Below are 13,211 nucleotides of genomic sequence, written 5' to 3'. Positions count from 1 at the left end.
TTTATGTGAGCCTCTTTGGATTCATCTTATTTGGTGTCTTTTGTGCTTATTGGATCCAGATTTCTGTTTTCTTCCTCAGGCTTGAACTTTTCTGCCACTATTTCTTTGAATATATTTTCTGTTCCTTTCCCTTTCTCCTCTCCTTCTGATACACAAATTATATATATGTTGTTAGGCTTGATGATGTTCCATGTCTCTTAAACTATTTACTTTTTTTTCATTCTTTTTACATTTTTTCTTCTCAGATTATATGATTTCCATTACCTCTTTTTGAGTTCATTGATCTTTTCTTGTACTTGATCTATTCTGCTGGAAAACCCTTCTATTGAATTTTTTAGTTGAGCTATATTATTCTTCAGCTCTGTTTTCTGTTTGGTACTGTTCTTTTCTTTTCTTTCTTTCTTTTTTTTTTTTTGAGATGGAGTCTCACTCTGTCATCCTGGCTGGAGTGCAGTGTCATGATCTTGGCTGACTACAACCTCTGCCTCCTGGGTTCAAGTGATTCTCCTGCCTCAGCTTCCCAAATGGCTGGGACTACAAGCAAGTTCCACCCCACCCAGCTAATTTTTGTAATTTTAGTAGGGATGTGGTTTCACCATGTTGGCCAGGCTGGTCTCGAACTCCTGACCTCAAGTGAGCCACCCGCCTTAGTCTCCCATATTGCTGGGATTACAGGTATGAGCCACCACACCCGACCTTGTTTGGTATGTTTTAATGCCTTCTCTTTGTTGAGATTTTCACTTTGTTTTTGTATTGTTCCCCTAACTTCAGTGAGCAGCTTTATGGCCATTGTTTTGAATTTTCTGTTGGGTAAATCACATATCTTTACTTTACTCAGGTCTATCCCTGGAGATTTATCTTATTCTTTTATTTGAATATATATTGCTTTGTTTCTTCATTTTCCTTAACTCTCTGTTGGTTTTTGCATATTATGTAATATAACTGTCTCTCCCAGTCTTGACAGACTGGCCTTCTTTAGGAGAAGGATCTCACTCATCTGTCCAGCCAGAGATTTTTAAGTGTCTCTCAAATCTTTGGGTTTGTCCAGACTGCTGTATCTGTTTCTGGTGACTCCTTATCCTCCAGGTGTGCCATGTCCTGTTCGTACTGAGACTGGTAAGGTAGGAACCAAACTATTATAATAAATGTAACTGGAAATGGTAATATGCTGCACGTGTGTCCCCGTTTCTTATATCTTCATGGTGAAGTTAAGCACAGGTGTTTATCTTTACATTCTCTGTACTAGGCCAGGGAAAGGATCTGTGGCAAATACCTGTACTAATGTTCCACTGTGTGCTCTGACCCTGGGGAGATAGATGCTGACAGTGTGCCTGTTGTGTGTCCACCTCTTTGTTTTCTGTGGTCTATGGCTAATCAGAAATGCAAATCATTGTTGACTCCCAGGTCTGGGTCAATAAGGAGATAGTGCCTTGGGTGGGAGTTATAGAAGTTGTGGCATTTGTTAATGGCCAAACTCCTCCCAGGAGCTGGGGTTATTCGATGTGTGAACAACATGGGTAGAACTGGATTTATCATTGGGATAAGCTGACGGAAAGGCTCATGAAGTGTCAAGTTTCATTCTGGCTGCTGAAGGGCTACTATATATTGAGCTTTTTCACTCTGCAATGCAAGTTTGATAGAAGTTTGGTTCATGCCCAAGTGTGTCTCTACTTTTCCTACCCCTTCAATATGGACATTTTCTCAATTGCTGAAGGTGTAGTTTTTCCACTGGTCTCTGACTTTCTCCCAAAGGGAATTTATCTATGAACAGATGTTTACTTGGTATATCAGTGGGTAGAGGAAAAGATAAGAGCTTCCAGTTTCATCATTTTCAGAAAAATAGTGTAACTACGTCAAGTGCTGCTGAGAATCTCCACAATATGAGTAAAAATCTAATGGAATTTGGAAAAGTGGAGGTCACTGACAAGAACAGTTTTGTTAGTAAGCTGGAGATAGAAGCCAAATTGGAATGAACTGAAGCTTGGATGGGTAGTTAGGAAATAGAGGCAAGATATATTAATGTGTTTTCCATAAAATTTTGCTATTAAGGGAAGAGAAATAAATGAAAATCTAAAGTAAAAGGAAGTGGGTCAAGGGGACTTTTTTAAAAATAAGATGTGCGTTGTTAGAGTTAACGTTTCTTTTTCTTTTCTTTTTTTTTTTTTTTTTTGAGACACAGCCTCACACTGTGGCCGGAGCTGGAGTGCAATGATGCAATCTTGGCTCGCTGCAACCTCTGCCTCCCAGGAGTTCAAGCAATTCTCCTGCCTCAACCTCCCAAATAGCCAGAATTATAGGCGCCCACCACCAGGCCCAGCTAATTTTTTGTATTTTTAGTAGAGATGGGGTTTCACTATGTTGGCCAGGCTGGTCTCAAACTCCTGACCTCATAATCTGCCTGCCTCGGTAGAGTTAGCTTTTCTACAGGAAACAATGATTTGTAGGAAGGGAGATAAATGAATCAGAAGTGGGAGGTGGTAAACAGTGAATGAAGTTCTAGAGACATTGAGGAGAGGAGAACAGTAGTTTTGCTTTGACATACTCAAACAGCACTGCTATCGAGTAATAATAATAAAACAGGCTTTTCAACCACAGAAATTTGCTAATTTCTCCCTAGTTTCTCCTAAAATCCTTGATGTAAAAGTTGGTGAAGCTAACTTAGAGCACATAGTTGAGGTGGTGTCTGCAAATACCACTTGTGAGAATGTGAACATGTATAAGACTCAGCAGAAGTGTGGTGATAAAGATCAAAGTAGAAACAGTACTGTTAATAACATGCATACCTTTTTTACTGTTTCTGGAGAAATCACAGAATCATCTAGGATAAACGTGAAGCAATCCTAAGCAGACTTCAGGGCTACAGGCTGAGAGTAAGCAAAACAAATGTCCTTTATATCAAGATAATGTGAAGTACTATAGACACAGAACAGATGTGAAACAAATTCGCTTTGTTTCAGGATGTGTGGCAACTATACCTATTCAAATAATCAGGCCAAATCTTTCTATGAACACAATCCATGAAAATATATTTATTCACATTTACTGACATTGCATGTTAACCCAAACCAGGCCTTTAGTGGTTTCAAAAACTCCAACAAACTTCCCTTTTATTTGTGCTATTGAGAGAGGTATGGGGTATGTATGTGTGTGCCATTTAAAAACTTAAAATTAGGCCTGGTGTGGAGGCTTGTAACTGTAATTCAAGCACTTTGGGAGGTGTCGGTGGGAGGATTGCTTGATGCCAGGAGTTTGAGACCAGCCTGGACAACATAGTGACACTCTATCCCTACAATTTTTTTTTAATTAGCCAGGAGTAGTGTTGAATGCTTGTAGTCCCAGCTACGGGGAGGCTCAAACAGAAGATCACTTGAGCCCCCAGGAGTTCAAGGCTTCAGTGAGCTGTGATCGTGCCACTGTACTCCAGCCTGGGAGACAGAGCAAGATGCCATCTCCAAAAATAATAAAAATTAAAAACTAAAAATGAATGGAGATTACATGTGTGAAAATATGTAAGCCAAAGCCTAGTGTATAGCAGACATTTAACAATACACTAAATCCAAACCTTTACCTCAAGGGACATGAGGCAAGGAAAAAGGGGACTGTGAAATTTGAGTCTTTGTGAGAACTTAGATGGTTAGGATCCTCGTTAAAAATCTGTCATTTGATTTTAGTTCATCTGATTTATCAAGAAGAGCAAATATTAAGTACACCTCATAGTGTCATAATGCTGGGGTTGAGGGGTGTGAATCCACAAAATGAAACCTTTCATAGACTTGAATGTGAGCTCATTTTTGAGCCCATTCCATTTTGTATGTAATATTGTTTTTGTTTAGGTTAAATGCTAAGTGATATTCAGTGTGCCTGATTTATAGAATTAACTCTATAGGAATAATTGTTTATTCAGAGTATTTTTTAAATTCTGGATATTTTGACTCACCTTATAGGAATGTGAGTTGAAGTACTAATGAGAGAAGCATGAATCCCTGTAAACTATTAATAGTACTTTGAAAAAGTATTTAATCAACTTTTCCTTAATGAAAGTGAATGAGTAGCTTCCTTATACATTCAGAAATAGAATGTTAGTAGGCAGTGTTTAAAAGCAGCCTTGGCTGTCACTAAAATTTTATGAATGAATTTAATGCATACTCAAGTTGTATGTAAGATAGAGTTATCTTAAATATGTGTTTCTAACTCTTAAAGTACACAGCAAGAATTAAAGATTTTAGGGTTTTAATGAAAACCTAAAGCCTATCTTTAAGTTGAATATGTGCTTTGAGTTATGGCTTTTATACCAGAGATTATTTTTTTCCAAATTCTTCTTTCATTGCTATGACATAATCTATATTATATCACTGACTGTAGGTTATATTAATCCTAAATCACAAAAATATGACTATGATTATTTTGATGATTCTAATATTTTAGAAAAGTGAGAGAAAAGCTTATGGATGCATCATGAGCCAAGGATTTACCTGCTAGTTTTGATGCATAGTGAGGAGACTGAGGGGAATAGTAGGGTGCATGGAGTGTGAAAGGGCAAAATCTTGGGAATTCAGTCCTCCCATTTGCTCTGCCTCAAGAATATTCAATGAGTCTGCCAAAGCAGGTGACAATATATCCATCACTCTGACTCTGCTATAGAAAGACATATGTAGCTTCATTTAAAAAAAAAATGCTTACAAGACAATGTCAAGTCTTGAGATTCCAAAACTTTCAAAACACTAACAGGGTTATATAGACAACTTGTGTTCTGAGATATTATGCCACCGTTTCTTAGACATCTCTTATAAATTCTCATATTAGCAATGGTACCTAGATACATGACATAACTTAGAAATCACTGTGTTAAGTCTATTCTGCAGTCACAAAGGATAGGAATCACTGAGCGCATAACACTTGAGCTCCCTGTCTTGCAGCTGCCAACCTGCTGTGACGAGCCAATGACATCTTCTTTGAAGTTATCACTTCATCAGCATTCAGTGGCTGAAGCTTTCCTGGTGTGCCCTATGCTCTCACTTAAGCTCACACCGAGAGGGGAGGCACTTGATGTAAATGAAACGGCTGAAGGATCTTCTTTAGATGTGACAATATGAAAAGAATGTTTGTGGACGTGGTTAGGGAGTAACCTCAAGGGCAAATTCCAACAAAATTTACTCTAACACAATTAGAGGCAAAGATGTTTTGAACAAAGTTAAGTGACCATGGATTTGGATATCCTAAAAGAATTTAAGAAATTGTCTATTATTTTTAGGGAAGTTTGGTTACTTTTTATAATTGTAGGAAAGTACAGTGGAAAGATTACATATTCCATCTTCAATTTCCTCTACTGTGAAGAAAATCTCTTAGCAAATCATAAATTTTAAAAATCTCACATCTGAAAGATTTGACCTAACTGGTGAATTAAGCTATTAGAGGGAAAAATGATCTAAACTTTATGGTATTTAATGCTATAGGGACAATCAGCTCAAGAAGAAATCAAATATTCCTATATTCCCTAACATGTTTGCCCAGAGATAGGTAAGAGTACCTCTGAGTGAAAATGTGGAAGATTCTCATGAAGCCCATATCTTAGAGCAGCCCCACTTGTCCTTTCTCTGAAAATTTATGGTTTTAGGCGAAAACTAAACAACAAACTTAGTGGTTTTCTCAGGTGTTATTTCAATGTGCAAAGCATACATATTCACTTATCTAACAGAAGTTAGTCACATGGTGTTTAAATTACAACATATACTTTATAACTAATTGTCAAACATTCTCATCAGGTTTAGTAATTATTTCCACTTTTCAATAATATAGAAAAACTTCACCCCTACAGTGTCAGTTTTGAAAATTCTAGGATATTTGGATGATATAAAAAGTCATCAAATTCTCCCCGACCTTCTTCTCCAGCCCATCTCTGATTATGACCTTTGGCATCTATGCTCTTTACTGTTCAGCAGCATTCAGCCCCCGGCCATTATCCAAGCGTGCTTAGTCTCTCTTTCATCAGAAACTTAGCAAACCTATTGTTTCTGCCCAGAACATTTTCTCCAGTTAGCTGGATAACCCCAATACACCTTCTATCACCCCTCCCAAACTTTTATTCTTGCCATCACTTTTCGTAGAGTTCTTTAGACAGGGCTCATCATTTTTTCCCTTTAACTCTCTTAAAACCTCATGCCTTTATTAGAGTATTTATCACATCCCATTCTAATTATTAGTGGCAAGGTCAACCATCATGTTATTTGCATCTCTTCTTGGGGCTGTCATTATTTCAATAGTGATACCATGGGGTCATGTGGTGCCGAGAGGCAACTGGTCTTATGGGATCAGAATCTGCAAGATGCCATCTCCTCCCTCCTCACATTTCAGGGGAATATTATCTAAATCATCCCCTTGAAGCCACATCACTATTTCGAGGTGAGGGGAAAGTGTGGGGCCCTCTGATGGGGCCAGGGATGGGAAATTTTGTAGCATTCCAACACACCTCTACTAAGATGTTCTCTCTTGCCTTCTTCAATTGCAGAATCAAAATCTCTCCTTTTGTATTTTCTTTCTGGATATCATCACAAAAATAGGGGTATGTTCACATCCTTAGTAAGCCCTAAATGAGTACCATACTTGGTTTCAAAGTCTGCACATAGTTGCTACCAATATTTTTTGCTTTTAACCTTCGAGGGCTTCATCTAAAGCTGAGACAGAAAGTTATTTAGAGAACTATAGTGCTCCCAGGCAAAAGAATTCTGGAGAAAGGACCCTATGTCTTCCATTTAACTTGAGTGGAATTTGGAGGCATACAGAATGCAATGTGACCCAATTGGGCAGAAAAAACTAGTGCACTTGCACAGTGTCTCTCTGGCAAGGAGATGCACATAAGAAGGGTATGGGCTAGACAGTCCTTAAGACTGATTGCAAGAAGAAATGCTTACATCTCAGTGGGTCACCCATAGTAGTACAAGCTGGGTCAGTGCACACACACACAGAATTGAGGGTCAATTCAGAACCTAAACTGATCTATATAGTGACATCATTTGGGCCAGGAAAGTGCCCTTTGGGGGACAGTTTAGGAAAAGGCCACCACCTCTGGATTGATGTCTCCATGTAGGGCACAGGCTGGAAGCAGAGTTCAGGTTATCTTGCAGCCCAGACTTTTCTGGGCAGTGTTGTGTGATTATTTTTTAAAATTTCCTTCTGTCAACATACTGAGAGAACTGTAATAATGTATTCCTAGAACACTTTTTTATAATAGAAGCAGGACCTCACTGTTACCCAGGCTGGAGCGTAGTGGCTTGATCATCACTCACTGCAGCCTCGAACTCTTGGGCTCAAGCAATCTGCCCACCTCAGCCTCTGGAGTAGCTCAGACTACAGATGTGTGCCACCACACCTGGCTAATTTACTTTACTTATTTTAGAGACATGGTCTTGTTGTGTTGCCCAGGTTGGTCTCAAACTTCTGGGCTCAAGCAATCCTCCTGCCTCAGCCCCCTGAGTAGCTTGCCTAGAACACTTTTTAACCATCTAGGATAAGATTTTACAAATAAAAATATAACCAAACATCACTTTATTTTAAATACTCATTAAAGTTAATCATCAGCAAGGGAGATGTATTAGTCTGTTTTCACACTGCTGCTAAGAGACTGGGAAGAAAAAGGTTTAATTGGATTTACAGTTCCACATGGCTAGGGAGGCCTCAGAATTATGGTGGGAGGTGAAAGTCACCTCTTACATGGTGGTGGGAGGTGAAAGTCACCTCTTACATGGTGGTGGGAGGTGAAAGGCACCTCTTACATGGTGGTGGGAGGTGAAAGGCACCTCTTACATGGTGGTGGCAAGAGAAACATGAGGAAGAAGAAAAGCAGAAACCCCTGATAAACCCATCAGATCTCATGAGACTTATTCACTATCATGAGAATAGCACGGTTAAGACCTGCCCCACGATTCAATTACCTCCCACTGAGTCCCTTCCACAAAATGTGGGAATTCTGGGAGATAGAATTCAAGTTGAGATTTGGGTGGGGACACAGCCAAACTATATTAGGAGAAAACATTGAGAATACATCCTCAACTCCATGCTATCCAAAAAGATGAATCATAGTGTCATAGAGATGTTCGAATTTAAGGATTTCAGGCTAGGGCCACAAAATAGACATCCCTCATAAAGCCACAAGTGGCTAGCTGCTTAAATGAAAGATGAAGAATAAACTGTCATAAAAAGCATTTCTATTAGTGATCTGTACCATATGTTTCTAAAATAAGAGTCCTTTTGAAGTTGATACTTCTTACTAGAGAGGCATTCTTAAGAGCATAGTTAAAAAATTGATTACTGTGTCCATTTATATCCTGAAGCAGTAGGGCTAGCATGATTTTCATACCTGAGGGGTGCTGCCTTATTCCTTATGTGTAAATATATTAAACCTAGAATTATTATTATTAGACCTATAGGTCATTTTAGTGTGGGCATATCTTAGGTTGTTATATTTATATCAAATTCCAAGGAGGCTTTTCCTTTGACAATCTCTAAATTCTTTATAATTGCGACTCTGGTAACCATGAGAAATTGGGATATAGTCAGAGGAAACTGGATGGATTTTAATTGTTCACCCACAGCTTCTGTACACTTTTGAAATAACTCACAGAATTTCAAACAAAAATACACATTTTGATATGTCCCCATTTCTTATAAAATTACCAGGTAAATTACTACGTTGTCCTATAAGTACAGTTACAGAAGTATTAATGTTATAGTATTTATTCAACATTGTAACTTTAACATTTTTATAATCCCTTGATATTCCCAATAAGTTTTTTCATCAACTCATTACAGAGCAAGCACTAGTCAACTAGGTAACTATTACCTATGTCAAAGCAAGCTATTACAAAGCAAACACTAGTCAATAGGTAACTACTACCTATGTCAAAAAAGAGACCATATTCTATTCCCAGAAGCTCTCTCCTCCCAGATGTTACCTTTTCCATCACTGTCAAAGAAACTATAATCTTGACTTCTAGCACTTTAGTTCTGCCTATTTTTTTGAACTATGTGTAACTAGAGCCTTAAAGTATGTTCTTATCTTTATATGGTTTATGTTGCTCAACACTGCTTTTGAGACTCAACCATGTTGTCTGCAGCTTGTTTATTCATTCACATATTCCATTATATGACTCCATAAAAACTTATTAAGCTATTTTATTATAAATAATGCTGCTATAAACATTTTACACACTGTTCTTGCTGCTCATATGTATGTTATTCTTAAGTATGTATATAAGAGTGAAATATATTTGCAATATGTAGAACTAACAAAAATACCTCTTTGGGTTAGTTTTGTTTTTGTTAATCCTTCTGGTCTGGGAACTTCCTTGTTGCTTTCCTAATAATATTTTTTGATAAACAGAAGTTCTTAATTTTATTCTTGTCCTATTTATCAAGCTTTTTGTTTACAGTTAGTGGGCTTTTTTGAGTCTTGTTTATAGATTACATGTGATTTGATATCTTATAATCTTTGCATGTGTGTGCATAAATTTTACCAGCCTACATAAAAATCGCCAGAGTTTGGCGACCATGGTTTTATCAATGTGATGAAACCAGGGAACTATTCCTGGTTTTCTATTCTCCAGATGATATTTTGTAAATTTTTGTTACTTTTTACTAGAATGCTTGGAAATAGTTAAGGGTCTATTCATTTTTTTTCTATCTCTTCTTGTGCCAGTTTTCTAAAGTTTTATTTTTCAGGAAAGTTTTTCACTTAATCCAAATGTTTAGATGTGTTGTCATGAAGTTTTTCATAATCTTTTCTAATTATGTCTTTTTTTTTCTATGCGGGTTCTCTGGTTATATCACTATTTTTATTCCTGACTCAGGTTATCTATGCCTCTATCACTCTCAGTAGGGATTTAGTTCACTAGCCTTTCTAAAAGACAATTTTGGCTGTGTAGTTGGTTGGCTTAAAATATTTATCTTTATCTAATTTCCTTTCTTCTATCTTAACATTTAATTGGCTCTTTTTTTCATGCTTTTTGAGTGCACTTTAGATCATTTATTTTTGCATTTATTCTTATACATTTTTATTATACTTTAAGTTTTAGGGTACATGTGCACAATGTGCAGGTTTGTTACATATGTATACATGTGCCATGTTGGTGTGCTGCACCCATTAACTCGTCATTTAGCATTAGGTATATCTCCTAATGCTATTCTTATACATTTAAAGTTAGGCATTTCTCAGCATGGTTATTGCTGTCTCTCACTTGTGTTGGCATGTAATATTTTCCTTATTAATCACTTCAAGACATTTTTCATTTTTATTGTGACTTCTTTATTGCCCCATAGTTTATTTAGAAGTGTGTATCTTGATCTCTGAATGTGTATATCAAATTCCAAAGAGGCTTTTCCTTTCACGACCTCTAAATTCCTTATAATTGTGACTCTGGTGACTATGAGAAATTGGGATATAGTCAGAGGAAACTGGATGGATTTTAATTGTTCACCCATAGCTTCTGTATACTTTTGAAATAATTCACAGAATTATTAGACATCAGAGAACCTGTTCTCTGTGTTTTCCATCCTTTAGAAATGGTTGAGACTTCACTACATGGAAAATATATTCTTAACTGTTTTATGTATTTGAATAAAATGTCTATTTTGCAGTTGTTCTTCCACACAACTAAAAACTCTGTCAGGCTTTCCTGTCCCTATGCAGCCACTTTCTATTCTGCTTCTCAGCCTCTTTGTTGATAATATTTGCAAATGCCTTCAGAGAAAAAATGTATAATCTGGTTGCTCAAGTCCTGCCTGAGACTTCTCCAAATCCTTCAAACATATTTTAAAAATCCTTCTAGATTTTCTAGTTGTTCTCAACTGGAAAATTGGTCTCCTCCAAGTTAATCTGTCATAGAGGAAGTGGTCCACATGTATATTTTTCCTAATATTTGTCTATAAATTATGTTATTGAAGGAGGTGTTTACAATATTTTCTTTATAAACATTCATGTGTGTTTATATGTGTGCAAAAATGTCCCCTAAATTCACCACTTATTTTGAAGGTACTCTATCTGCCTTTTTTCTTTTCTTTTGAAACATTTCAAATACAGAAAAGTTACAAGGTCAGTAAAGAGAACATTTTTTCCTGATCCATTTAAGAATTAGTTACACCCAGGTGTGGTGGCTCACGCCTGTAATCCCAACACTTTGGGAGGCTGCAGCAGGCCGATCTCTTGAGTTGAGAAGTTCCAGACCAGTTCCAGACCAGCCTAAGCAACATGGTGAAACCCTGTTTCTACAACAGTAACAATAAAATAATACAAAAATTAGCCAAGTGTGGTGGTGCGTGCCTGTAGTCCCAGCTACTTAGGGGGCTGAGGTAGGAGGATGGCTTGAGTCCGGGAGTTAAGGCTGCAGTGAGCCATGTTTGTGCCACCGCCCTTCAGCCCTGACAAAGGGAAAAATAAAAAAAAATAAAAAAAAAAGAATTACAGACATAATGCCCCCTCACCCCTGAATACGTTCTTGTGTATTTCTACGAACAAAAACATTCTTCTGTATAATCACATTACAATCATCAAAATCAGAAAAATCAACATTGACACATAATTGCTTTATAATCCTCAGGCTCCAAGTTTTTTCAGTCATCCCTAATAATGCCCTTTATTACAAAAAGAACCATTTCAAAATCATGCATTGCATTTGACTATCATTTTTCTTTTTTTTTCCTTTTTGAGACAGAGTCTCGCTCTGTCACCCAGATTGGAGTGACAACTCCAACTTCCAATTTATGTGCTTTTTTTCTCTTAGTAATTATAAATAAACTAAAAATTTTTATTATATATAACAATATATTACTAAATTATATAAGCACACATACAAAATATAAACCACAATAATTATCATTTCATACCATTCAACTTTATTTAGATTTACTCATTTTTAGCATTTTTCTGTCTCTTCCTACCATCATGAATCTCTAATTTTTCATGAGATCTTATGTATTCCTTCTGAAGAGGTATTTTTCTTAACAATAGTAGATTCTACTAGTGATAATTCTTTCAGAATTTGTTCACCTAAAAATATTTTTTTCACCTTAATTTTTAAAGGCATATTTGCTGTACATCAAATTCTGGTTGGCAGTTGTTTTCTTCAGCACTTTGAAAATATCAGTGAGCTGTCTTGTTTTGTATTGTAGATATAGTACTCAGGTTTTAAATTAACTGTAACATATTAAAATATGAACCCTAGGGTTTTTTTTAAACCTTCCAATTGCTTTACAGTTTTGTCTTTGTTTTTAGCTTTCAGCAGTTACTGATATAATTGTGGATTTTTTTGTATTTATCTGGCTTGTTATCACAGTCTTTTGGAAAATGATTTTATGTCTTTCATCTATTCAAATGTATTTCTGTTCCATTTCTCTTCTGTACTTTAGGATTACAAATACCATTATGTTAAACATTCTTATTCATCCCTTCATATCTTTTACCATTTCTTGTTTATTTTATTTTTGTCTTTTTGTATGATATCTCCCCTTAGTTCTTTCACTGAACAAATTCTCACCTGCTTTTAAAATCCATTGAGACCTCCATTACAACTGTTTTATTTTTCACTGCTAGAATTTCCATTTGTTTTTATAGTTTGTAATTTTCTTCTGGAAATTTCAATCCTGGTTATTATTACTTCACACAAGTAGTATAATTATTCCAAAATTTGTGGCTGATATTTGGAGTCCTTGTAGATCTGTTTCTATGTTTTATTCTTGCTGCTGGCTTTCAGTCATGCTGCCTTAACTCCTTGTGCATCTGGTTATGATTTTGGGTAGTTTAAAAATTTTGTTTGAAATTTGTTTGGAGAAATCATTTGAGAATGAACATGTTATCTTGTTCCCAAGTCTTTTTATTGTGCTTCTGCTAGCTATGCGGGGGCAGTAGAAATCTGGGGTTGCCTCAATCCAATCTGAGGGATTGAGATTAGTTGAACATGAACTCTATTCTCCAGAAGAATCTTTCTATATAGAAATCACTCTTACCCTGGAGTGGGGCTCTTTGGAGTCCCAAACTTAAGTGAAAGTGATTCTATAATTCCTCTCCTTTTGAAGGTCCCTATACTCCAATTATTAGCTTCCTGTCTATGCCAGACTGTAAAAATGCACACTTCATCTCTGAGTTTCTTGGCTTTGCTGTTCAGTAATGGCAAATACTTTTGGGGGGAAACAACCCCAAGTCTCAGGCTTACCTCAGTAGATCT

General features: G+C 36.6%; 1 annotated feature.

The window, feature by feature from the left end:
* Positions 4,684 to 5,227: an enhancer, noted in NCBI's record as "OCT4-NANOG hESC enhancer chr5:128746164-128746707 (GRCh37/hg19 assembly coordinates)". NCBI's record gives its function as "activates a minimal SCP1, AML or CMV promoter by ChIP-STARR-seq in naive H9 embryonic stem cells {active_cell/tissue: H9 hESC(naive)}" and the evidence as "EXISTENCE:reporter gene assay evidence [ECO:0000049][PMID:30033119]".

Source organism: Homo sapiens, chromosome 5 (assembly GCF_000001405.40).
Source record: "Homo sapiens chromosome 5, GRCh38.p14 Primary Assembly".
Lineage (NCBI taxonomy): Eukaryota > Metazoa > Chordata > Mammalia > Primates > Hominidae > Homo > Homo sapiens.
This window is presented reverse-complemented; position numbering and strand designations above follow the sequence as displayed.